The sequence below is a fragment of the Homo sapiens genome, chromosome 3 (assembly GCF_000001405.40).
Source record: "Homo sapiens chromosome 3, GRCh38.p14 Primary Assembly".
Lineage (NCBI taxonomy): Eukaryota > Metazoa > Chordata > Mammalia > Primates > Hominidae > Homo > Homo sapiens.
In genome coordinates, this window is record NC_000003.12 from 11717465 (window position 1) to 11741110 (window position 23646).

The 23646-nt window shown below is 47.8% G+C and overlaps 2 protein-coding genes across 7 annotated transcripts in view, besides 3 other annotated features; both read right to left on the reverse strand.

Moving 5' to 3' along the window:
• Positions 1-4351, reverse strand: part of VGLL4 (vestigial like family member 4) — a 165749-nt gene extending 161398 nt beyond the window's left edge. For 2 of the 6 annotated variants that reach the window (XM_047449259.1, XM_047449262.1), the window contains exon 1: positions 4335-4351. In XM_047449259.1, coding sequence (XP_047305215.1) covers positions 4335-4348 — 14 coding nt within the window. In that variant the 5' untranslated portion in view covers positions 4349-4351. Of the gene's footprint in view, positions 1-1952; positions 2066-2929; positions 3076-4334 lie in introns of those variants that run through there. The other 4 variants (XM_024453835.2, XM_024453837.2, NM_014667.4 and 1 more) reach the window with 2 other exon arrangements.
• Positions 1594-2513: a silencer, noted in NCBI's record as "silent region_14062". NCBI's record gives its function as "represses an Ori minimal core promoter by ATAC-STARR-seq in GM12878 lymphoblastoid cells {active_cell/tissue: GM12878}" and the evidence as "EXISTENCE:reporter gene assay evidence [ECO:0000049][PMID:35858748]".
• Positions 2754-3123: a silencer, noted in NCBI's record as "silent region_14063". NCBI's record gives its function as "represses an Ori minimal core promoter by ATAC-STARR-seq in GM12878 lymphoblastoid cells {active_cell/tissue: GM12878}" and the evidence as "EXISTENCE:reporter gene assay evidence [ECO:0000049][PMID:35858748]".
• Positions 4352-4431: 80 nt separating the features above from the next.
• TAMM41 (TAM41 mitochondrial translocator assembly and maintenance homolog) overlaps positions 4432-23646 on the reverse strand; it is a 124990-nt gene continuing 105775 nt past the window's right edge. Inside the window, exon 8 of the mRNA XM_017005725.3 lies at positions 4432-4469. Within this exon, the coding sequence (XP_016861214.1) occupies positions 4447-4469 (23 nt within the window). The 3' untranslated portion in view covers positions 4432-4446. The remainder of the gene's footprint in view (positions 4470-23646) is intronic.
• Positions 7285-7334: an enhancer, noted in NCBI's record as "active region_19434". NCBI's record gives its function as "activates an Ori minimal core promoter by ATAC-STARR-seq in GM12878 lymphoblastoid cells {active_cell/tissue: GM12878}" and the evidence as "EXISTENCE:reporter gene assay evidence [ECO:0000049][PMID:35858748]".

Here is a 23646-nt window from a genome sequence, read left to right on the forward strand (position 1 = left end):
AGTTAAGAGGAATTTCCCACTACAGATTTTTTTTTTTTTTTTTTTTTTTTGGTACAGTTGGGAGCCGGGAGTCTCTCTGTTGTCCAGGCTGGTCTGGAACTCCTGGCCTCAAGCGATCCTCTTATCTCAGCCTCCCAAAGTTCTGGGATTACATAGGTGAAACACCGCGCCCGGCCCAGAACATTTAAAAGTGAAAGTTTTTACATAATTATCATGTCTGTAAGAAGTGTTAAAATCTTCAGATAAAGTCATAATTTTAAATCAGTTGGGGGATAGCAGTAACAACTGTGTTTATGTAGCTCTTTCAAAGCTTCAAAGAATTTATAAATAACACAAAATACTTTCAAAGCACATTATTCTCTGTAATTCCTGAAACTCTGTGATGTATTGGAACTAATATTACCACCCTTTTACAAAGGAAAATAAGATACAAAGTTTGAGTACGAGTAACATTTCTGGTCATAAATCTAGTCAGTGACACTGATAGGACTAGAACTCAAGTCTCCAGAAATAATAACCCAGAGCTGTTTTTACTACAACATTCACAGTTTTGGAATGTAGTCCATAGTTATTTATAGCAGAATTATCTTCTTAATTGTATTGTGTTTTGGTCAACATAAAAATTAGTTTGCATTCACTTCCAAATGGAAAGCAAAGGCAGGCTGCCCAGAAGTGTGAAAAAACGGTGGCCGGGGAAATTAGCCTGGGATTAAAATTTTGCCAAAGTTAAACAACGAATTGAAGGGTTTACATCATTTCCACCGTGGGGGAGATGACTTTTCAGGCCAGATGTAACAGGAAATACAAGAAAAAATTCAAAACTGTCTTGAGTGTAAGACAAGAAACTTCTGAATCAAGTATTTCTAAATCCTTTATTTAAATTGAGAGCATTGGGACTTAGAGATAATAAATAACTTGTCCCAAGATCACACCACAGGGACAGCTTTACTGCTCCGACCCCAAAGGTCTCCTTAAACTGCCCACTCTACTCCCTCCCAGTCATGCGCAGACTCTTCATTAGATGCAAGCAGGAAACAATGAACAGTACAAGTCCGTGGACTCAGCGAGTAGAGAAAGAGTTAAAGTTTGGTATGCTAACATGGTATGCAAAACTGACCTTCAAATCCTAATAGGCAAATTAATTTTTTTTTTGTCTTTGACTATTTAGAGGAAACAACTGCCAGACTCCTTCTGAGTAGAGGTAGGCTTGGGTATAGAACAAGATATTAAAACTCCACAAACTGGGAGACAGTGCCTTTCAAAGAGAGGGCAACCAGCTGTTGATAAAACCCAGCAGAACCGCCTCCACTTCCCCACACCCCTACCCTCCCGCGCCAGGCTGCTGGTTCTTATTAATCACAGAGAAGGGACTACAACTAGCAAACATACAGCACCGACGATCAAAGTGAAACCGATTTTTTAATCATCTAACTTAAACAGACGAACACATGCCAGCAACGTACATAAATACGAATAGCCCCAGCAAGCACTGTCTTCATAACCTAAGACAGTTAAATGTCTCAGGGTGATGAATCAAAGGAGACTTCAAGCAAAACAAAAAGCGAACAGCCCTGTGCTCTTCCGCGAGGCCTGCACTGGGTGCAGGGAGAGTGTGCAGTCCTGTTTTGGGGACCGGGCAGGAAGCACAGGAAGAGTACGGTGCCCCTTCCCGCAGTCCACATCACAGCCCTCCCTGAGGCCGGCGGGGACCGCGGGGTGCCAGGCGCGGGCCTCCTCGCCCGCCCCGAGCCTCCGACTCCCAGGACGTCCTCCGGGAGCCTAGGCGCTTCCGCTCCCACCGGCGCCTCCCGAGCGGCCCGGCAAGGACCCGCCACCTCCTCCCTCCCGCAGGGCATCCCGGTTCTGCTCCGACAGCCCACCCCAAGGCCCCTCTCAGGCCAGCCCTCGCCCAGCCCGGGTCCCGCCCCGCCGACCGGGTCAACCGCACTCACCGCCCGGCGGCTCTGGGCGCGCCCGCCTGGGGCCGGCCTGGCCCTGCGGGGGACCCAGGGGCGGGGACGGGACCTGGGCACGCGGGGCGCACCCCGAGGGCGCGCAGACGCACAGGCGGGCTCGCGCCCGAGCCCCCGCACGGGCCCCCGCCAAACACGCACACGCACACGCACGCGCGGACCGGGCCGGCGGACGGGAGCGCGGGAGCGCGAGGAATCCCTGGAATGAGGCACCGGCCAACCTGAGCCGGGCTCCGCCAGGCCAGCCAGGCCACGCCCTCGGTCACGCCCCTCACGGAGCAGGTGGGGGCTGAGCCAGGTGAGCCGGGAGGGAGATAGGGGCGAGGCCTCCCGCGGCAGGGAGAGGCCGCTTTCCCTCCCCCGCCAGCTGCGCGCCCGGTGCCAGCTCGCACCTCCCGGGCCGATGCCGGCGCGCTGGGGCAGTGAGGTTTGTCGGGGCGGGCGCTCCCGAGAGGCGCCAGCGGGCAGGGCGAGTGGACATGGCGCACACTGCTGTGGACACGGCATCTCGCACGCCCCCGCCCCCGAGGCCCCGCCAGGGGACACAGCGCCGTGCAAATGTACAAACACAAACGCACATTTCGTGCGCGCCCAGGTGCCCGCCGCGCTCCCCACGCGCGCACAGTAGGTCCCTGCTCCCGGGGGACAGCGCACGGGACGCCGACGTTCACAGTCCAACCAGACCCGTCCCGCGGACCTGCTGCCCTTCCCGCCACACACACCCCGCCAAGCGCCCGGAGTTCAGCCGAACCTGCGGCACCCACGCCGCCCTCCGCTTCCCCCGGCTCGCGAGCAGCCGGATAAGGGCGCACCACCCGCCCGCGCCGGTTCGCCGTCCACACCCGCTCACCCCCGGAACGCGGCGCACCTTCCGTCCCCCGCCTCCCGGGCCCCGTCGCCCCCTCTCGGCACCCGCATGCCCGAGCCGCGCTCCCCGACGGCCGACGGCCACGCACCTGAAGGGACAGGTCACACCGGCTGCGGGAGGGGCTGCTCGGCGCCACTGCGCTCAGAACGGCCGCGGCGGTCCCGGGCGCTCCGACGCCGCTGGGTTTCCTCCCATTACAGCATGTTGCACTCCAGCGCTGCACTTCACACTCGCACACGCGCACACGCACACGCGCACAACTCCAGGCGCTCGGCGGCGTCCTTCCCCCGCCTCGCCCGGAGGAGGAAGTCCTAGTAAATCAAAACAGGCTGGGAGGGAGGGAGATCGGAGTGGAAAGAGTCCCCTTCAGCCGCTCACACACCAGTGTTTGCTGTGTTTGGCAAACTCCTGGCGTCCACAACCCGGACTGCTCTGAAATGTGCCCGGGGAGGGGCAGGGAGGAGGAGGTAAAACGTTTCTAATTGGCGCAGGTTCTTATATTACAGCAGCAGGGCAGACATGTGACCACGAAAAGAAAAGGCCTGTCTTTAATTTTTTCCTGTCTTTCTCTGGGGATTTGGTGGTGGGGGGCCGGGGGATAGAGGCCTGATACCCGCCCCCCGCCATCCCCAGCAACCCTTGCCCTGTTGTTTTCTTGTACTGCCACAATTAAGAAAACATTTGCTTAACATATCCAGCGGCTAACTTCATAAAATAAATAGAGACTGGACTTCCTCTGGTTTGCTTTAAAAGGCTTCATGTTGCTTGCCTTCTGGCTGTTCTCAAACCTCAGTCATTATTAGGAGCCCCTACCGTAAGGGCTTTCCCTGGGAGAGGGCTCTGCTGAAAGGGAATGATAACAATGAAAACAAATACCAGCTTACATTCGTGCTGGAAAAAAAAAATGCTTTGCAGTTTTCAAACTGTTTTCCCATCTGTTGCCTCATCTGATCATATCAAGGAACAGCACGGTGTCTCACTGGATCTTAGCCCCTGTTGGATATGCAAAGACAGGTATGCGTAGTTCCATGTTTCAGTGAGATTAAATGGTTTACCTAAAGCAGGTGGAGGTGTTGCCCGAAACTTGGGGCCCCTTGTGAAATGTACTCTCCTCCAGTCCATACAGGGCCTCTGGAGATGGGACAACCCAACTTACAAGTCAACCTAGGAATAGGTCCCCTGGCTTTCCTGATTCCTGGATAAATATTCACAGATTAAAGCTCGGAAGGTTCCCAGTCTTCCCAAAGGTACTCTTACATAGACTCCGTTTTAGTCCATCAGTAGTCTCGGACTAGGAAAAGAGAAATCCTGAGAAAGACTGTAAATAGGAGATTCATCCTGCCAAACTCAGACAGGGAATGAGGAAGGAATGAGGACTGCCTGGGCAGATTCCAGGAAATATGGTAAGACAGAAAAAGGGTTTTAGATTCAGACAGAATTTGAATCCAAACTCCGCCTCTATTTGTTATAGGATTTGGGGCAAGTTATCAAACCTCAGTTTTCTCATCCGTAAAACAGAGATAATGCTTCTTCGAAGAGCCGGTGTGGGGTTACAGGCTTCGCAGAGACGTTTAATGAATACTCACATCTTCCTTCTCTTCTGACTTAAATCCAGTCCAGGTGGGCACCTTATGAACAGAGGAAAATGAAATGCCCAGACAACGCAAATGAATAATGATAACAATAATAGTGCAACTGCATATTTATAAAAATGGCCCAAGGTTTACAAAGTGTTCCCACGTATTATTATCTCATTTGATCTTTATGACAACATTGCCATTTGTTTGCTGCTAAATGATTTCCATTTTGGGTCAGTGCGGAGGTCCTAAAGCTGCCTCTTTAATTTCCATCACTGCTTGGAGCGAACCTTACTCTGCAAATAAATCATGGGGACAGAAGACCTTTTCTCATGGATGTGACCAGTCTTCGACCTTTGCAAGGATTAATCTCACTCTTTGCCTTACATCAGCATTAGCGTGACTTAGCTCTGGCAACATCTAAGCCTGGTCGTTTTAGTCTGGCTCTTTTAGTTGTGCAAAGGAGAGACACACTCAAGTTACTGTAAGAAAAAGGGGGGTTGTTGTAAAGGTCTAGGGGGACTGGAAGTGGAACGTGGCAGACACATAGAATATTATACAGTAACCTAAATTAAAATGACTTACAGTGACCTCAACAATACAGATGCATCTTGACAATGTTAACTGAAAAAATTAAGTCCCAAAAGATTACATACAGCATAATACTCTATTTGTAATGTTAAAAATAAAATTAAAAATAATTTTAGTGGTACATATATCTGCAATAAAATGATATAAAAAATAAGTCAGGGCCAGCCTGGCCAACATGGCAAAGCCCATCTCTAGTAAAAATACAAAAAAAAAATGGTCAGGCGTGGTGGCTCACACCTGTAATCCCAGCACTTTGGGAGGCCAAGGTGGGCGAATCACGAGGTCAGGAGTTCAAGTCCAGGCTGGCCAACATGGTGAAACCCCGTCTCTACTAAAAATACAAAAATTAGCCAGATGTGGTGGCACGCTGCTATAATCCCAGCTACTCAGCAGGCTGAGTCAGGAGAATTGTTTGAACCCGGGAGGCTGCAGTGAGCCGAGATCATGCCATTGCAGTCCAGTCTGGGTGACAGAGTGAGACTCCGTCTCAAAACAAAAAATTAGCTGGGGATGGTGGCTCACACCTGTAGTCCCAGCTACTCAGGAGGCTGAAGCAGGAGAATCACTTGAACCCGGGAGGCAGAGGTTGCAGTGAGTTGAGATGACACCACTGTACTCCAGCCTAGGCGACAGAGCTGAGTCTCAAAAATAAAATAAAATAAAAACAAAATAAAATAAAAATTGAGGGGATGATGATGCCAGGATTACCTGGGTGGGGGTGGGGGCAGGCATGGGATTGGATGGGAGAAAACCATTTGGTTAAACATTGTTGTCTAGGTCCTAGCTTGGTAGGTTCACAGGTTCTCTATTAAAATAACTACCTAGGCCAGGCGCAGTGGCTTATGCCTGTATTCCCAGCACTTTGGTAGGCCAAGGCGGGTGCATTGCTTTAGCTCAGGAGTTTGAGACCAGCCTGGGCAACACCGCGAAACCCCATCTCTACAAAAAATCCAAAAATTAGCTGGGCGTGGTGGCACATGCCTGTAAGTCCCAGCTACTTGGGAGGCTGACATGGTAGGATCACCTGAGTCCAGGAAGTTGAGGCTACAGTGATCTGTGTTGATACCACTACATTCCAGCCTGGGTGACAGAGTGAGACCCTGTCTCAAAAAAAAAAAAAAACAAAAACAAAAAAAAAACTTAAGTGATGGTTTTACAGTAGTGTGAATGTACTTAATGCCATACTGAACTAAACACTTCAAAATGGTTAAAGTGGTACATTTTGTATTATGTATATTTTACCACAAGTTTAAAAAATGTATAAGGAACATAACTGGGCAAATCAAAAAGAAAACAATACTGCTTAAGTAGCTAACAAATAAAGGTAGGCTGTACATAGACCACTGATGAGAATATATTTCAACCCAAGGATTTTATAAATGCGCCAGAAGTGTATTTTAAAAACAAAATAATCAAGGGGGTGACTGAGTGGAGGTAGCAAAGACACAAGATTGGCCCAGAGTTGATCGTTGTTGAAGCTGAGGATGGGTACAGAGGAGGGTGTTGAGGTAGCCCCTCAGTGGGGGATGGGGGGGGGTGACACTACTCTATCTGCTCTTACATGTTTGGATTGTTTCATAGCAAAAGATTTTATTTTATTTTATTTTATTTTTATATTTTTATTTATTTATTTATTTATTTTTTATTTTTGAGATGGAGTCTCACTCTTGCCCAGGCTGGAGTGCAGTGGCATGATCTCGGCTCACTGCAACCTCCACCTCCCAGGTTCAAGCGATTCTCCTGCCTCAGCCTCCTGAGTAGCTGGGATCACAGGCATGTGCCACCATGCCTGGCTAATTTTGTATTTTTAGTAGAGATGGGGTTTTACCATGTTACCCAGGCTAGTCTCAAACTCCTGACCTCAGGTGATCAACCTGCCTCGGGCTCCCAAAGTGCTGGGATTACAGGCATGAGCCACCGCACCTGGCCTATTTTTTATTTTTATTTTTATTTTTATTTTGAGACAGAGTCTCGCTCTCTCACCCAGGCTGGAGTGCAGTGGCATAATCTCAGCTCACTGCAACCTCCACCTCCTGGGTTCAAGCAATTCTCCTGCCTCAGCCTCCTGAGTAGCTAAGGTAGCAGGCGCCTGCCACCACGCCCAGCTAAGTTTTGTATTTTTAGTAGAGACGGGGTTTCGCCATGTTGACCAAGTTGGTCTCGAACTCCTGACCTCAAGTGATCCTCAGTCACCTCTGGGTGATTCTCCACTTCTGCCTCCCAATGTGCTGGGATTACAGGCATGAGCCACCGCACCCAGCCCTGTTTCATAGTAAAACATTGTAAAAAGGAAAATGAAAAAAAAGTGCAGAGTAGGAAGGACGCGTTGTGGCTGTGTTGTGCTCTCACCCATCGACTGCACAGCTTCTCAGTTTCCCTTTCGCTCTGTTTCTTTGTGCGTCCTCCCCAATCTAGTTCTTTCTCATCTCTCTGCCAAGGACTTTCCTCACAGCTTTGGCTCCCTTATTGCTATCTCTATTACCCCTTTTAGCTTTTGCCCCCATAGGTAACTGACTCCTTCCGTATCTTCATAGTTCAGATTGCTCAGAGAATCTGATTCTTCTCTTTCTTCTTCCTGTTCTTCTTCCTCTTCCTCTTTTTCCTCTTCTTCCTCTTCCTCTTACACTTCCTCCTCCTGCCCCTCCTCCCCCTCCTCTTCTCCTCTCTCCTCTTCTCCTTCCTCTTCTCCTCCCTCCTTGTTCTCTTCCCTCTTTTGCTCCCTCCTCCTTCTCCTCCTCCTTCTCCTCCCTCTCCTCCTTCTCCTTCTCCTCCCCCTCCTCCTTCTCCTTTTCTTCCTCCCTCTTCTCCTCCTTCTCCTTCTTCTCCTCCTCCTTTTTTTCTTCTCCTCCTCCTCCTTTTTTTCTTCTCCTCCTCCTCCTTTTTTTTCTTCTTCTCCTCCTCCTCTTCCTCCTCCTTCTTTTTCTTCTTCCTCTTCTTCTTCTTCTTCTTCTTTCCTCCTCCTCCTCCTCCTCCTCCTCCTCCTTCTTCTTCTTCTCATTCTGTCACCCAGGCTGGAGTGAAGTGGTACAATCTCAGCTCACTGCAGCCTTAACCTCCTAGGCTCAGGTGATTCTCCCACCTCAGCCTCCTGAGTAGCTGGGACTACAGGCATATACCACCATGCCCGGCTAACTTTTTGTATTTTTAGTAGCGATGGGGTTTCAGTGAGTTGCACAGGCTGGTCTTGAACTCCTGGGCTCAAGCAATCATCCCACCTCAGCTTCTTAAAGTGCTGGGACTACAGGCGTAAGCCACCATGCCCAGCCTGACTCTTCCCTTTCCACTAATCCATAGAAATGATTGCCGGCTGATCTCCCTGGAAGCCACACAGCCATGAGGGTCAGTGAAGTCAAGCACAGTCCAGTGATGAGAAACATGGTCCATGTGGGCGTGGGGTGGAATGGCTTTAAGATGGCCACAACCAATGACACGTGTGGAAGGGGCTAAGGAGTTCAGTTCATCAGTTAACAATTTCTTAAGGCTGTTCAATGGGTGAGTGTTATAAAAAAAGTTTTCCCTTCCACGCCAATTGCCAATAAGTAGTTTGTATTCCAGTTTGTCCTCCCATGTCATACTTCTAAGGGGCAAATAAGGGGAATATCAACGGCTGCCAATCTGAATTGCTCGTAGTACATATAGACATCTACTGTTCCCCTCATTGCACTAACCTGGCTGTGGAAAATGTGTTTTTCTAGTCTATATCCCTTTGCTTATGATGTACTTTCATGAATCTCTCCTGTTTTCTTCTCTTCACTCCGACTTGTTCCACAAAAAGCACTGAGGAATCTGAAGATGTGGGTTCTAGTTCACACTCCTCTCTAGGTGACAAAGTGAGTCATTCTATACCTCTGCATATTCCAAGTCTTCCCCTCTGTGGGGAGCTGAGACCAGATCAAGTTAGGCAAACAGGTTTCCTTTTGAGCACCTGCTCTGCCTGGAGCCCTCTTTTGAGAAGGGCTCTGGCAGCACAGTTGAGGCTTAGTGACAAAGTGTCGAGATTGATTATTAATGTATGCTATGGGCAGGGAATAAAAATGAGTGAACCTGGCCGGGTGCAGTGGCTCATGCCTGTAATCCCGGCACTTTGGGAGGCTGAGGTGGGTGGATCACTTGAGGTCAGGAGTTTGAGACCAGCCTGGGCCAACATGGTGAAACCCCGTCTCTACTAAAAGTACAAAAATTAGCCAGGTATTGTGGAATGTGCCTGTAATCCCAGCTACTTGGGAGGCTGAGGCAGGAGAATTGCTTGAACCTGGGAGGTGGAGTTTGCAGTGAGTTGAGATCGCGCTGCTGCACTCCAGCCTGGCAGCCTGGGCGACTCTGTCTCAAAAAAAAAAAAAAAAAAGAAAAAAGAAAAGAAAAGAATGAGTGAAGAGTGAACCAGATGTTTGCCATTTTTGGTGGAGGAGCGCTAAAAATCCCATCTAGTAATAACTTCTTTCTTTTCTCATAGTGTGAGAACAGGTGCATTTCTACTTTTCTGGGAACCAAAGAACTCAGTGGAAAAACCAAATGATCTTATTTCAGGGAGAGAGGAAAGAATAAGAAATAATCTAAAATAATAATAATAACTAATGTTTGAGGAGCACTCACTATGTTTCAGGCACCACTCTAAGTGCTTTACAACAAGTACCGAATTTTGGCCTCATAACAATTCTATTGTAAGGTAGGAACTGTAGGCATCCTCCTTATGCACACAAAGAAACTGAAACATGCAGACATTAAATTACTTGTCCAAGGTCTTAAAGACAGTAAGAATGCAACTAGAATTAAACCCTGGTGGTCCAATTCCGGAGTCCACCTGCTTATGCCCCTCACTCCTCAGGATTGCCTGCAGACTAATTGCATCCAGCATCCCCTGAGAGCCTGCTAGAAATGCAGGCTTGCAGGACCCACCCAGACCTGCTGAATTGGATCTGCATTTCAGCAAGCTTCCCAAGTGACTCATATTCACAGTGCACTGAGAAGCAACTGCTTGCTTACAGATGTTACTATTATTATTATTATTTCAGACAGGGTCTTGCTCTGTTGCCCAGACTGTGGTGTAGTGGTGCAATCTCTGCTCACTGCAGCCTCCACCGCCAGGGCTTCAGTGATCCTCACACCTCAGCCTCCTGAGGAGCTGAGACTACAAGCATGTGCCACCACAGTAGGCTAATTTTTGTATTTTTTTCTAGAGACAAAGTTTTGCCACGTTGCCCAGGCTGGTCTCAAACTTCTGGACTCAAGTGATCCTCCCGCCTTGGCCTCCCAAAGTGCTGGATTACAGACATAAGCCACTGTACCTGGCCTATTTCTTTTTTTTTCTAATTTAATTTTTTTTTTTTTTTTGAGACAGAGTCTAGCTCTGTTGCCCAGGCTGGAGTGCAATGGCGCGATCTCGGCTCACAGCAACCTCCGCCTCCCGGGTTCAAGTGATTCTCCTGCCTCAGCCTCCTGAGTAGCTGGGATTACAGGCATGCACCTCCACACCTGGCTAATTTTTCTGTTTTTAGTAGAGACAAGATTTCTCCATGTTGGTCAGGCTGGTCTCAAACTCCCAACCTCAGGTGATCCGCCCACCTTGACCTCCCAAAGCGCTGGGATTACAGGCGTGAGCCACCGTGCCCAGCCCCTGGCCTATTTCTTATAATCACATGTGAATCTGCAACTATTTCAAAAAAAAAGAAAGTGAAATTTTATGTAGGTTTTATTTTTCCTGCTTTTGTTGTTGAGGAAACAGAGCTTTGAAGAAGCTAAATAAGCAGCCCACTTGGTAATTCAACCTATGTATTGAGGCCCCACCTGCTGTGTGTAAGACACTGCTTTCCGCACTGAATTTCCAGCAGTGAACAAATCTTGCCCTCGTTGAGCTATCATTCTAGTGGGTACTCAGTTCAAACCCACATCTGGGTGCCAAGTCCTCTACTGCTCAGAAATATGGTCACAGATTCAGAGAGTAGTAAATAATAAAGCTACACAAGGTTCAAATATTTGCAAAATGTCTGTACAAGTATATATGAAAGCATTAACAGTGCTAGGTACACAGTAAGCACTCAATAAAAATTAATCCTCTTCCTTTCTTTCTTGCAGTTGCCTCAGAGCCTGGAAGGAAGCTCATCTCCACTGTGACCCAACTGGATGGGGTCCACGATGGGCCCATTGTGAGTAGCTGTGACCTGAGCTTCATGCCCCTCTGGCGATTAGTCGAAGAGCTGTGATTGAGGGCGATGTTCCAAGGTCTGGAGATGGACCCTTTTAAACCTGACAGGGAGGCCAGGCACGGTAACTCACGCCTGAAATCCCAGCACTTTGGGAGGCCGAGGCGGGCGGATCACCTGAGGTCGGGAGTTCGAGACCAGCCTGGCCAACATAGTGAAACCCCGTCGCCACTAAAAATACAAAAATAGCCAGGTGTGATGGCAGGTGCCTGTGATCCCAGCTACTTGAGAGGCTGAGGCAGGAGAATCGCTTGAACCCGGGAGGCGAAGGTTGCAGTGAGCCGAGATCGCGCCATTGCACTCCAGCCTGGGAGACAAGAGCAAGACTCTGTCTCAAAAAAAAAAAAAAATACAAAAACTTGCCAGGGAGTCGGTGATGTGTGTTCCTGTGAATGTCAGTTCTTTTCACAGCATGGTTCTGAGAAAGTGCCCTTAAGCAAGACCAAATTTATGGCCAGAAGGATTGCTCAGACCCAGACATCTGAGTGGCATCTAACACTATTCTAAAGATTGACTTTGTCCTCATGCAAGGAATTTTCCTTTAAATACTATAAGAACAATTCAACATGCAATATATTCTTGCTGTCTTTCCTATAAATAAATTTCACTGGGCTGGGACGGGAAATAAAAGCCTTTTTCAACACACTAAAAAATTGTTGCAGATGCTGGATTCAAGGCCAGTCAGAATTTGGCCGCTGCTGTCAGACAGAGAGTGGTTTGAATGAGGAAGCTTACCGAGAATGAATGTGTGTTTTCTTCTGTAGGTGGAATACAACAACACCCCAGAGTGAAATTCTTCCAACTGGGATTGCCCTGTTACCCTGTCTTTTTCTTTCTTTCTTTCTTTCTTTCTTTTCTTTCTTTCATTTTTTTTTTTTTTTTTTTTTTTTTTTTTTTTTTTTTATGAGACAGAGTCTCACTCCGTTGCCCAGGCTGGAGTCCAGTGGTGCCATCTCGGCTCACTGCAACCTCCACCTCCTGGTTCAAGCGATTCTCCTGCCTCAGCCTCCAAAGTAGCTGGGATTACAGGTGCATGCCACCACACCCGGCTAATTTTTGTATTTTTAGTAGAGACAGAGTTTCACCATGTTGCCCAAACTGGTCTCGAACTACTGACTGCAAGGAAGGAAGGAAGGAAGGAGGGAGGGAAGGAGGGAAGGAAGGAGAAAGGAAGGACAAGGTTATTGGGTGCCAAGTGTGTGCAGTGTTGAACATTCTCATTTAATGCAGTGTGATCCTATGAAGAAGATTGTCCCATTATGCAGATGAGAAAACAGGGGCTCAGAGAGGGTAGGACATTTGCACGGGCAGTGCAACACTAGGATGCAAACCAGCTGGTCCTACTTCTCATTGAACAATCTTTCAATAATACCACTAAATTCACCCAGAAAAGACCTTTGGAGAATCTCTAAATAAATAATTGCATTTGGCAGGGCGCAGTGGCTCAAGCCTATAATCCCAGCACTTTGGGGCACGATGGCTCAAGTTTGTAATCCCAGCACTTTGAGATGCCGATGTGGGTGGATCATCTGAGATCAGGAGTTCAAGACCAGCCTGACCAACATGGCAAAACCCCATCTCTACTAAAAATACAAAAATTAGCCAGGTGTGGTGGCACACACCTGTATTCCCAGCTGCTCTGGAGGCTGAGGCAGAGAATAGCTTGAACCTGGGAGGCAGGATGCAGTGAGCCAAGATCACACCACTGCACTCCAGCCTGGGCGACAGAGCAATACTTCATCTCAAAAAAAAAAAAAAAAGAAAAAGAAAAAAGAAATTGGCTGGGCGCGGTGGCTCACGCCTGTAATCCCAACATTTTGGGAGGCCAAGGCAGGTGGATCACGAGGTCAGGAGTTCAAGACCAGCCTGGCCAGCATAGTGAAACCCCATCTGTACTAAAAATACAAAAAATTAGCCGGGCGTGGCGGTGGGCGCCTGTAATCCCAGCTACTTGGGAGGCTGAGGCAAGAGAATCACTTGAACCTGGGAGGCGGAGGTTGCAGTGAGCTGAGATCACGCCATTGCACTCCAGCCTGGGCGACAGTGTGAGACTACATCTCAAAAAGAAAAAGAAAAATGAAAAACAAAAAGAAAAAAAATTGTATCTACCTTCTTACAAAACCGCTTCCATTCTGAAGGGAAACGTTTCCTCCTGGTTTCCCATCTTCTCTGCACCACCACATGGAGCTGGAATTTGCTGGGGTTCGAATGTGAGCACCATGTTTACCAAAGGATGGGAAACCCCTGGCAAAGGAAAGTTGCTGATACGTTGGTATTGGACGGACCTGAGTTCAAACCTGGGTCCTACCTGCTCAAGCCTCTATTTCCTCACCTATATGATGGGGATGACTCCTACTTAGAAAAGTGTGTGTATGCGTTAGAACAGCCACATAATCAGTAAAAGTGGGTCCCAGGTCAAAGTCATGTGAGCCCCTACTGCATGTAGTGCTGCTGGATTACCCAGCAAGCAGGCTATGTCTGTATTTAGGGCACCGCAATGTACAAAATGATTTTTGAAATAATTTGATATATATAACTAAATGACCAGATTAGTCATCTTGGGTAAAATCAGATCTTGTTTAGACTATTTTATAGTTTAATATCCTTCTAAATTACATATATAAGGAGACATCATCCTCTTTCCAGGACATAGAAGCGTTAAGAACTCGAATTCTGCAGGGCATAGTGGCATGTCCCTGTAGTCCCAGCTACTTGGGAGGCTGAGACAGGAGGATCATTTGAGCCCAGGAGGTTGAGGCTGCAGTGAGCCGTGATGGTGCCCCTGCATTCCAGCCTGGGTGACGGAGACCCTGTCTCTACAAAAATTAATAATAATAATAAAAGACTCAAAAAAGTGAAGTGCCCTGCTACTTTAGACCAAAAAGAAACCCTCTCCTCCTTAAAGCAGTAAGGGAAATGGGTTTGGGTCCCAAATAAATGAGATTTTAGTACAGACGGGGGAAAAGGAGAGCAAGGATGTGTTTGTTTTTATTTCCAGGGTGGGAGAGAGGCTTTCCAAAGACTAGCAAGCTGATGCCCCATGGCAGTGGATAATGTCATTTCTAGATCTTTGAGGCTGCTACAAAAGCCACAGTGATGCCCAGTCCAGCTTCCACGTGTCTCCCCTGCCTGCCCCTCCTCTCCCCAGGGACTTTATGTGAATCCTGGGGTTGCACTGTGAGGGGTCTCAATCTAATTAGGGCATTTTTTTTTTTTTTTGAGATGGAGTCTCACTCTGTTGCTCAGGCTGAAGCACAATCTCGGCTCACTGCAACCGCTGCCTCCTGGGTTCAAGCAATTCTCATGCCTCAGCCTCCCAAGTAGCTGGTATTACAAGCATGCATCACCATGCCGGGCTAATTTTTGTATTTTTAGTGGAGGCGTGGTTTCGCCATGTTGCCCAGTCTGGTCTCAAACTCCTGACCTCAGGTGATCCTCCTGCCTTGACCTCCCAAGGTGCTGGGATTACAGGTGTGAGCCACCACACTTGGCCCATTAGGGCAATTCTTCTTCCTTCCTCCATGTCTCCCTTTCTTCCTTCCTCTATTTCTTCGTTCATCCTTTTGCTCTCTTCTTTCCCTTTTTCCTTCCTTCCTCCCTCCCTCCCTGCCTTCCTCCCTTTCTTCTTTCTTTCCTCCCTCCCTTTTTCCCTCTCTCTCTCCCTCCCTGCCTTCCTTCCTTCTGTCTAGAGCACCATCTGTTTGCCATTTACATTCTAGATGTTGATGTTACAACTGTCAGTAAGACAAGCAAGGTTTCACTCTCATGGAGCTTCTCCTCTAACACGGAGGTGTTGGGGAAGAGGTGGGGAGAGAGATCATTAGCCAGGAAACATAATTTAAGTCATGTAAGTTAACATAAAAGAGATCATTCGAAATAGTGAAAAAAGACCGTTTAAAATAATGGCAAGTGCTATGAAGAAAATAAAACAGAGCAATGAAATACAGGGTGACGGGTTGTGACAGCAGAATAGCATCACTCCAGTAGGGTGATCAAGGAGGGCCTCTCTGAGGAGGTGACATTTGAGCTGAGGCCTGAATGATGACAAGGAGACAGCCGTGCCACAATCTAGGGGAAAAAGATTTCCAGGCAGAAAGAATAGCAAGCACAAAGACTCTGGGACAGGAACACAGTCACCATGATGGAAGGATGGAAGGAAGGCCTGGGTGGCTGGACCATAGGAAATAGGGGTTGGGGGGACAAATTCAAGAAAAACCTGGGAAGTGGTCTGGCTGTGGTAAGGAGCTCTGACTTTATTCTACATGCCAAGGGAAGCCACTTGAGGGAGTTTAGGGATTAGGGTAATATGATTTGAGTTTTTTTTTTGTTTGTTTGTTTGTTTTGAGATGGAGTCTTGCTCTGTCATCTAGGCTGGAGTGCAGTGGTACGATCTTGGCTCACTGCAACCTCCACCTCCTGGGTTCAGGCATTTCTCCTGCCACAGCCTCCGGAGTAGCTGGGACTACAGGCGCCTGCCACCATGCCCGGCTAATTTTTGTATTTTTGGTATAGGCAGGGTTTCACCATATTGGCCAGGCTGGTCTTGAACTCCTGACCTCAAATGATCTGCCCACCTTGGCCTCCCAAAGTGCTGGGATTACAGCCATGAGCCACCGCACCAAGCCTGTGTGAGTTCTTAAAAGAGCTCTCTGATGGCTGTGTGGAGAATAGACTGTCGGTGGGGCACAGATAGATGCCTGAGGCCTTTTACCCTTCTGCAGGGACCTGGCTGAGGCATAATGCTAGTAACAGCTATTCATCTGGAAGGGGGTGTTGCATGACTCAGCATCCAGGCCTTATAAGGAGTTTGGGGGTGTCCTGAGATTTTTTTTTTTTTGAGACGGAGTCTCGCTCTGTCACCCAGGCTGGAGTGCAGTGGCACCATCTCGGCTCACTGCAAACTCTGCCTCCCGGGTTCATGCCATTCTCCTGCCTCAGCCTCCTGAGTAGCTGGGACTACAGGTGCCCGCCACCACACCGGGCTCATTTTTTTTCGTATTTTTAGTAGAGACGGGGTTTCACCATGTTAGCCAGGATGGTCTCGATCTCCTGACCTCGTGATGCATCCGCCTCGGCCTCCTAAAGTGCTAGGATTACAGGCGTGAGCCACCACGCCCGGCCAGGGGGGTCCTGAGATTTTTAAATTTTCGTTTCCAAGTCCAAACAGGTATTCTGGAAGAACAAATGGCTCTCCTCCAAGTAGTGACTCAGGGACCCAAGATCCTTCTATCTTGTGCCTCTGCCAGCCTCTGGGGCCCCAGAGTTCATTGCATGACCCTCTTTAGCCAGCAAGCAGATGGAGAAAGAGCATGGAGAAGGCACACGTCCTTCCTCATTATGTGGGCCAGCACACAACACTTTATATTCCATTGGTGAGAACCAGTCACATGGCCTCACTGAATGAAGACGGGCTAGGAAATGTAGTTCCGGGGTGGGCAGCCACTTCCCATCACCGGCTCTGTGCAAAGAGAACCCGGGCCTTTGGTGGCCAGCTGGTCATCTCTGTCAGCAAACCTTCTGGGAGGAATGCGAGGCACCCGGGATGACAAGTTGGCTTTTGGCCTGAGAAGAGATGAAAGGTGATCCTTAACCAAAATGGGAAGCTGGGGGAGGAGTAGAATTATCCTTGGGGCAGAACCAAGAGTTCCATTTTGCACGTAGTGTGAGCTGTCTGAGAGACATCTGAAAGGAGACATTGGGAGGGAAACTGGATATATGAAACGGGCACAGAGGTGGCGTCCAGACTGAAGACTTAAATGTGCATTTTCCCCTTCACCCAGTGGCTTCTGATCCTGACAGCTCCTCTTACAGTCATATGGGCCCTTCACTGCCTTTGACCCTGAGTGCACTAATTACACTGGTGTAATTCACTCCTCTATTAGAAAGAATGTTTGTAATTCTCTTACTCACTAAATGATAGCTCTATTACATGCAGCTACTCATTCAACACATAGTTCATTGAGTGTCTACTATGTGCTGGGCACTCATGATTAGCAGGGAAGAAGATCTAGTCTCTGCCTAATGAAGACTGCATTCTAGTAGGAAAAGACAGATAATAAACAAATTAAAAAGCAAATATGGACCGGGCACGGTGGCTCACGCCTGTAATCCCAGCACTTTGAGAGGCCGAGGCGGGTGGATCACAAGGTCAGGAGATCAAGACCATGCTGGCTAACACGGTGAAACCCCGTCTCTACTAAAATACAAAAAAAAAAAAAAAAAAAAATTAGCCAGGTGTGGTGGCGGGCGCCTGTCGTCCCAGCTATTCGGGGGGCTGAGGCAGGAGAATTGCCTGAACCCGGGAGGCGGAGCTTGCAGTGAGCCAAAATCACGCCACTGCACTCCAGCCTGGGCAACAGAGCGAGACTCTGTCTCAAAAAAAAAAAAAACAAAAAGCAAATGTGACTCAGGCATGGTGGCTCACACCTATAATCCTAGCACTTTGGGAGGCTGAGAAGGGAGGATCACTTGAGCCAGGAGTTCAAGACCAGCTGGGCAACAAAGTGAGACCCTGTCTCTACAAAAAATAAAATAATCAGCCAGGCATGGTGGTGCATGCCTGTAGTCCCAGCTACTCTGGAGGCTGCAGCAGGAGGATCACTTGAGCCCAGGAATTTGAGGCTGCAGTGAGTTACGACTGCGCCACTGCATTCCAGCCTGGGTGACAGAGTGAGATCTTGTCTCTGAAAAAAATTTTAAAATTCTTTTAAAAAGTAAATATGGGCTGAGGCAGGCAGATCACTTGAGCTCAGGAGTTTGAGACCAACCTGGGCAACATGACGAAACCCCATCCCTACAAAAAGTACAAAAATTAGCCAGGTGTGGTGGCGGGCACCTATAGTCCCAGCTACTTGGGGGTGCTGAGGCGGGAGGATCACTTGAGCTTGGGAGGTGGAGACTGCAGTGAGCTGTGTTCATGTCATTGCACTCCAGCCTGGGTAACAAAGTGATACCTTATTTCAAAAAGGAAACAAAAAAGAAAGTAAATATGTAGTGAATCAGGTGCCCTAGAGAATAATGGAGAAAGTGCCTGGGAAGTCAAGGGTAGGATTAGTAGAAACAGAAAGACTTCTATAATAAGGCAACATTTGAGCAGGAACGTGAAGGAAGTTGAGGGAGCAAAGCACGTGTATATAATGAGGGAAGAATGTGATGTGCCAGGCGAGGGCGCAGCAGGTGCACAGGCTCAGAGGTAGGGGAGTACCCAGCATGTTTCCAAACCACGCAGGGCCCAGCGTGGCTGCAGTGGGGTTGGAATGAGAGATTCAAATGGGGTTAGGGGTTGAGATCAGAGAGGCAGGGGGTGAATAGATCATGCAGTAGCCAAAGCAAAGGGGTTTTCTCCAACACCTTCATGTAACTGGAGAAGGGAGAAAAACAAACCTATTTCCTCGTGCAGAAATCTCTCCAAAGAGAGCAATGTACAATATCAGGAACTTCCTGTGTAGTTTCCAAAATGAAACACCTTCAAAGTGGAGGATTTGCAGCCCAAATAAGAAAGGGTAACCGTCTCATAATGTGGAGTACAGAATACACCATCTCTCCTCGTGCAGCAGTTTTCTTCACAGTTAATTGCAGCCACATGTGCCCATGGAAAGGAAGCATTTTTAGCAAGTACTATCAGAGACCTGGGCAGGCGCTTCCCATCCCTCATGCTCAGAGCAAAACCAATCATGTGATTAGCTCAGGAGGATGGGAATGTAACAGTGCTATAATGATAAATACTCTGTTTTCTGAATTTCAATTCCAAAATCTGAGCAAGATGCCTTTTATTAGCTTGTTTTGATAAATGTCAGAAGCAGCAGGTTTAAATCAAGGAAGACACAGTTTCTCATGGTTTCTGTTAGGTTACCTTGGGCAGTTCCTCCTGATAGGCCCACTGTAGTGAGGGTCATGAAACAAAAATACCAAGGATGGCGTCTGGGTCTTTTATCGCTGCTCTTGATCACAGCGGGGCCTCAGCGCACCCTGCTTCAGCAATTACCACAAACGTGTGGGCAGGACTTCAGAGTGGCTGCTCGCCAGTTTATCTCATTTAATGCTGGCATCCCTGGGACTGGTCCCATTTTCTGTTCTATACAAGAGGGTATAGAGTGAATATTGGTGTGAGTTTGGCTCCCAAGTGTCTGGCCACTCTTCCTATTTAGGGGAAATTCTTCTGTAGACTTGGTCTACAGAAGCCAAAGGGAGCTGGATAATCCCTCCCTGGGGCTAAGACACAGGCTCAGCCAACTGGATGCACCTGCCCAGGACCAGAACTCTTCAGGGGATGATTCGAAGGCTTGGTGGTGGCAACATCAAGAGTCCAGGAATGGCAGTGCCCAGGCTGCAGTGCAGGGAGAGTCAGGAGTCCGTCTGCACCAGATGGCTCCCGGGGCAGCCCTGGCCACCTTCTCTAGCTCCTGACCACTTTCTCGGACTGATTCTCCAGCCTTCCCATCTGTTCTTCAGCCACCCAACACCCAGCCAGTGGGCTCCGTTTCTGCTTACCTTAACCAGAGACCACTCCTGTTGTCTATAACCCAGAACCCTGGCTTAATCTTAAGTAATTTCCAGACACCCACCCCCACCTGCCCCCCGCATTAAAGAACAGAAATTCCTGTTGGCTTACATTATTATTATTATTATTATTATTATTATTATTATTATTATCATTATTATTTTGAGACAGAGTTTCACTCTTGTTGCCCAGGCTGGAGTGCAATGGCACGATCTCGGCTCACTGCATCCTCCGCCTCCCAGGTTCAAGCGATTCTCCTTCCTCAGCCTCCAGAGTAGCTGGGATTACAGGCACCCACCACCACGCCCAGCTAATTTTGTATTTTTAGTAGAGATGGGGTTTCTCCATGTTGGTCAGGTTGGTCTCGAACTCCTGACCTCAGGTGATCCGCCCGCCTTGGCCTCCCAAAGTGCTGGGATTACAGGTGTGAGCCACCATGCCCAGCCAGCTTACATTATTTTTGTTATCATGTAACTCAAATATGTATATCATCAAACTAAATATAAACTCCTTAGAGGCTTGTAGCTTTTAAGCAGCTATAAAACACAAACACATTTGCAGGCAAAACACAAGCAATACCACAAAGTCAGCAAAGTTGAAATTAACAATATTAACTTGACATGACAGATGATACGATTTTGTGAAACTAAATAGCTGTTCCAAATGGAGATATGGAGCTGACTGGTCGCTGGGCTCCTGTGGTTTTCTTATTGCCATGGGCCGTTTGACAACGTAACTCTTCCACTTTTCTTCTCCATTCAAACCACTGTGCACACTTCATTCACACCACACGTTACTCACAAATGAAAACTGCTGCTGCTCTTATGTCATTTAGCTAGGACAATTAAAATTGTTCCAGGTGGCCCCAATGCCACTGTAAACACAAAGGCAAAAGCAGAGCTTGAAATTAGATGAAAAGGTCGTTCAGATGAGCCACGACTTGAACATGTCCATTTTTAAAAGAACATCAAAAATATTAACTTTTTAAACATCTCATAGAAAACCATAAATTCCTAAGAGTACCTTTGTAAACTCCAGTTTCAGAAATCATGAGAAAGTAATTAGGAGCATAAGCCGTGGAGTTAAAAAAAGAAAATCCTGGTTTTGAATCCCAACTCAACCCCTTTGCTCGTCTTAGAACCTTGAACAAGTTATTGAGTATCTCTGAGCCTTAATTTTCTTACCTGTGAAATGGAACAATAATACCCATCTTTTAGGAAAGTTGTATTAAACAAGATGATGTGTGTAACTGGTCAATACATGGTGCTAGTTATTGTTCCCGATGTCCTATTCAACTTTCAAATTGGCTAATGTTTTTGCCTGGTTCATACAGCCAGCTGGCCACAGAGACAGCGCTGGAACCAGAGCTCTAAGCCCTGGCCCTTAGGAGTACCCACCGACCTTTTAGGGCTGTGCTCAGAGGGAGTTGCTGTATCCGAGGGGTTTATACTCTGTAGACAATCACTCCATTCCTGGGTAATTCTGTGGATGATCCTCCCCAAAAAATGAATCCCACTTTCCCCTACTTGACAACTTCTGTCCATCCCCTATTCCTCATACCTGTGGTTCTCACAGTGGGGTTTCCTGACCAGCAGGAGACATGGCAGAAACGCAAATGCAGATTCTCAGGCCTCGTCCCACACATACTCAGTGGGTGGTGGCACCCAGCAGCCTGTGTTTCAGCAAACTCCCGCTTGACCCTGATGCAGGCTGAAGTTTGAGAATTACTGCATTCTAGGACCAAGTCCAAGTTCTTAGCACAGCATCCAGTGCTGCCTGTTCTGGGCCCAGCCCACCTTTTGGCCCCTTCACCCATCACTCCTGAAAGCACCTTCCACTCCAGCGACATTAGACTCTACTCTCTCATGTCTCCAACATGACAAGCCCTTTTGTGCCTCTATGCTTTGGTGTATGCAGGGCAGTTCCCTCTACTGGGCATTTCTTCAAAAGGTCTCCTTCTCTTTGAACCCTTCCCTGATTGCTTAAGGCTGAATCTGTGGCTCTCCAACTTTTCTGTCACCTTCTATTACTACCACAGTTACCAGGCTGTACTGTCACCAGAGTTACATTCTTGCCTCCTCCCCTAGATGATAAGGTCCTCGTGTTTGCAGCAGCTAGTGACCAATCCATATCCACTCTCCCCTTGCCCTAATCAGAGAATCTGGATTTCCCAGCTCCCTTGCAGACAGGAGTAGTCAAATGACTAAGTTCTGGGCAATGAGATGTGAGCAGAAGCTGATGGCTCCAGCTCCCAGGGGCTGGCTCTTCCCTCCTGCCTCCTTACAGTGAGTGGGCATGCTGTGGCCATCTTGCAACCATGCAGTGAACTTAAGGATAGAAGATGCGTTAAGGGCTGGGTGCGGTGGCTCACTCCGATAATCCCAGCTACTCGGGTGGCCGAGGAGGGAGAATTGCTTGGACCCGGGAGGTGGAGGTTGCAGTGAGCCAAGATAACACCACTGCACTCCAGCCTGGGCAACAGAACAAGACTCCATCTCAAAAAAAAAAAAAAAAAAAAAAAAAAGAGACATGTTAAGGATGGAGCAAAAAGATGAGTGAGGATACTGGATATTCAGGATGTTGTATGCTCACTGCACCAACTCTGGACCTTTATCCCCAGACTACAGGTTCCCAGAGACTCAAATAAATTCCTTTCTTATTGGAGCCATTGTTTCTTTCCCCCGGCTTCCAACAACGCAGTCTCAGGGGCAAGACTGTGTTTTATTCACTGCAGAATCCAGTGCCTGGCACAGAGCCTGACTCAGAGCAGATGCTTCACGCATGTTTTTGGAAGGAAGGAAAGAATGAATCCTTCCTTATTATTTCTGTTACAAGAGGAATCAGAGCTCATGTATTGGGCCTAAAATTACTTTTTTGGAGACTCTGGAAAACCACATAAGGCAAAAAACAAAACAAAACAAAAAAAACACCCCAGATCTTTTACATTTTATTTTAAATTAAAATGTCATAGTTTTAACTTAGACCAGAATAATATTATCCCACCATTGGACAGAAAATAGGTGTTAAATGAAGATGCGTGTCATTACTGCTGAAAATCCCTCAATAGTTGCTCACAGCCCTTAAAATAAAGTCCCAAATCCCTAGTGTTTTCTGGCTTCTCACTGCTTTTTCTTTCTTTTTTTAAGTGGATATAATTGCAGATTCATAGGTGTTTATAACAGATGATACAGAGGGGTCCCATGTATCCTCTGTATCATTTGCCCCAATGGAAACATCTTGCACAACTCTGGTGCAACATCACAAGCAGGATATTGCCATTGACACAATCCACCAATCTTGGTTTTCCCCAGTTTTACTTGAATTCATGTATGTGTATATGCATATTTGTGCATGTGTGTGTCCTAGTCCTTTTGTGCTGCTATGACAAAATACCTTAGATTGGTAATTTCTTTTTCTTTTTTTTTTGAGACGGAGTTTTGCTCTTGTTGCCCAGGCTAGAGTGCAATGGTGTGATCTTGGCTCACCACAACCTCCGCCTCCTGGGTTCAAGCCTCCCGAGTAGCTGGGATTAGGGGCGCCCGCCACCGCGCCCGGCTGATTTTTGTATTTTTAGTAGAGACAGGGTTGCACCATGTTGGCCAGGCTGGTCTCGAACTCCTGACCTCAGGTGATCCGGCTGTCTTGGCCTTCCAAAGTGCTGGGATTACAGGCGTGACGACTGTTCCCAGCCTGACCGGTAATTTCTAAGGAACACAAATTCATTTCTTACAGTTTTGGAGGCTGAAGTCAAATATCAGGGCTCCAGGCCGGGCGTGGTGGCTCACGCCTGTAATCCCAGCACTTTGGGAGGCTGAGGTGGATGGATTACGAGGTCAGGAGTTCGAGACCAGCCTGGCCAACATGGTGAAACCCCGCCTCTACTAAAAATACAAAAATTAGCCAGGCATGGTGGCGCATGCCTGTAATCTCAGCTACT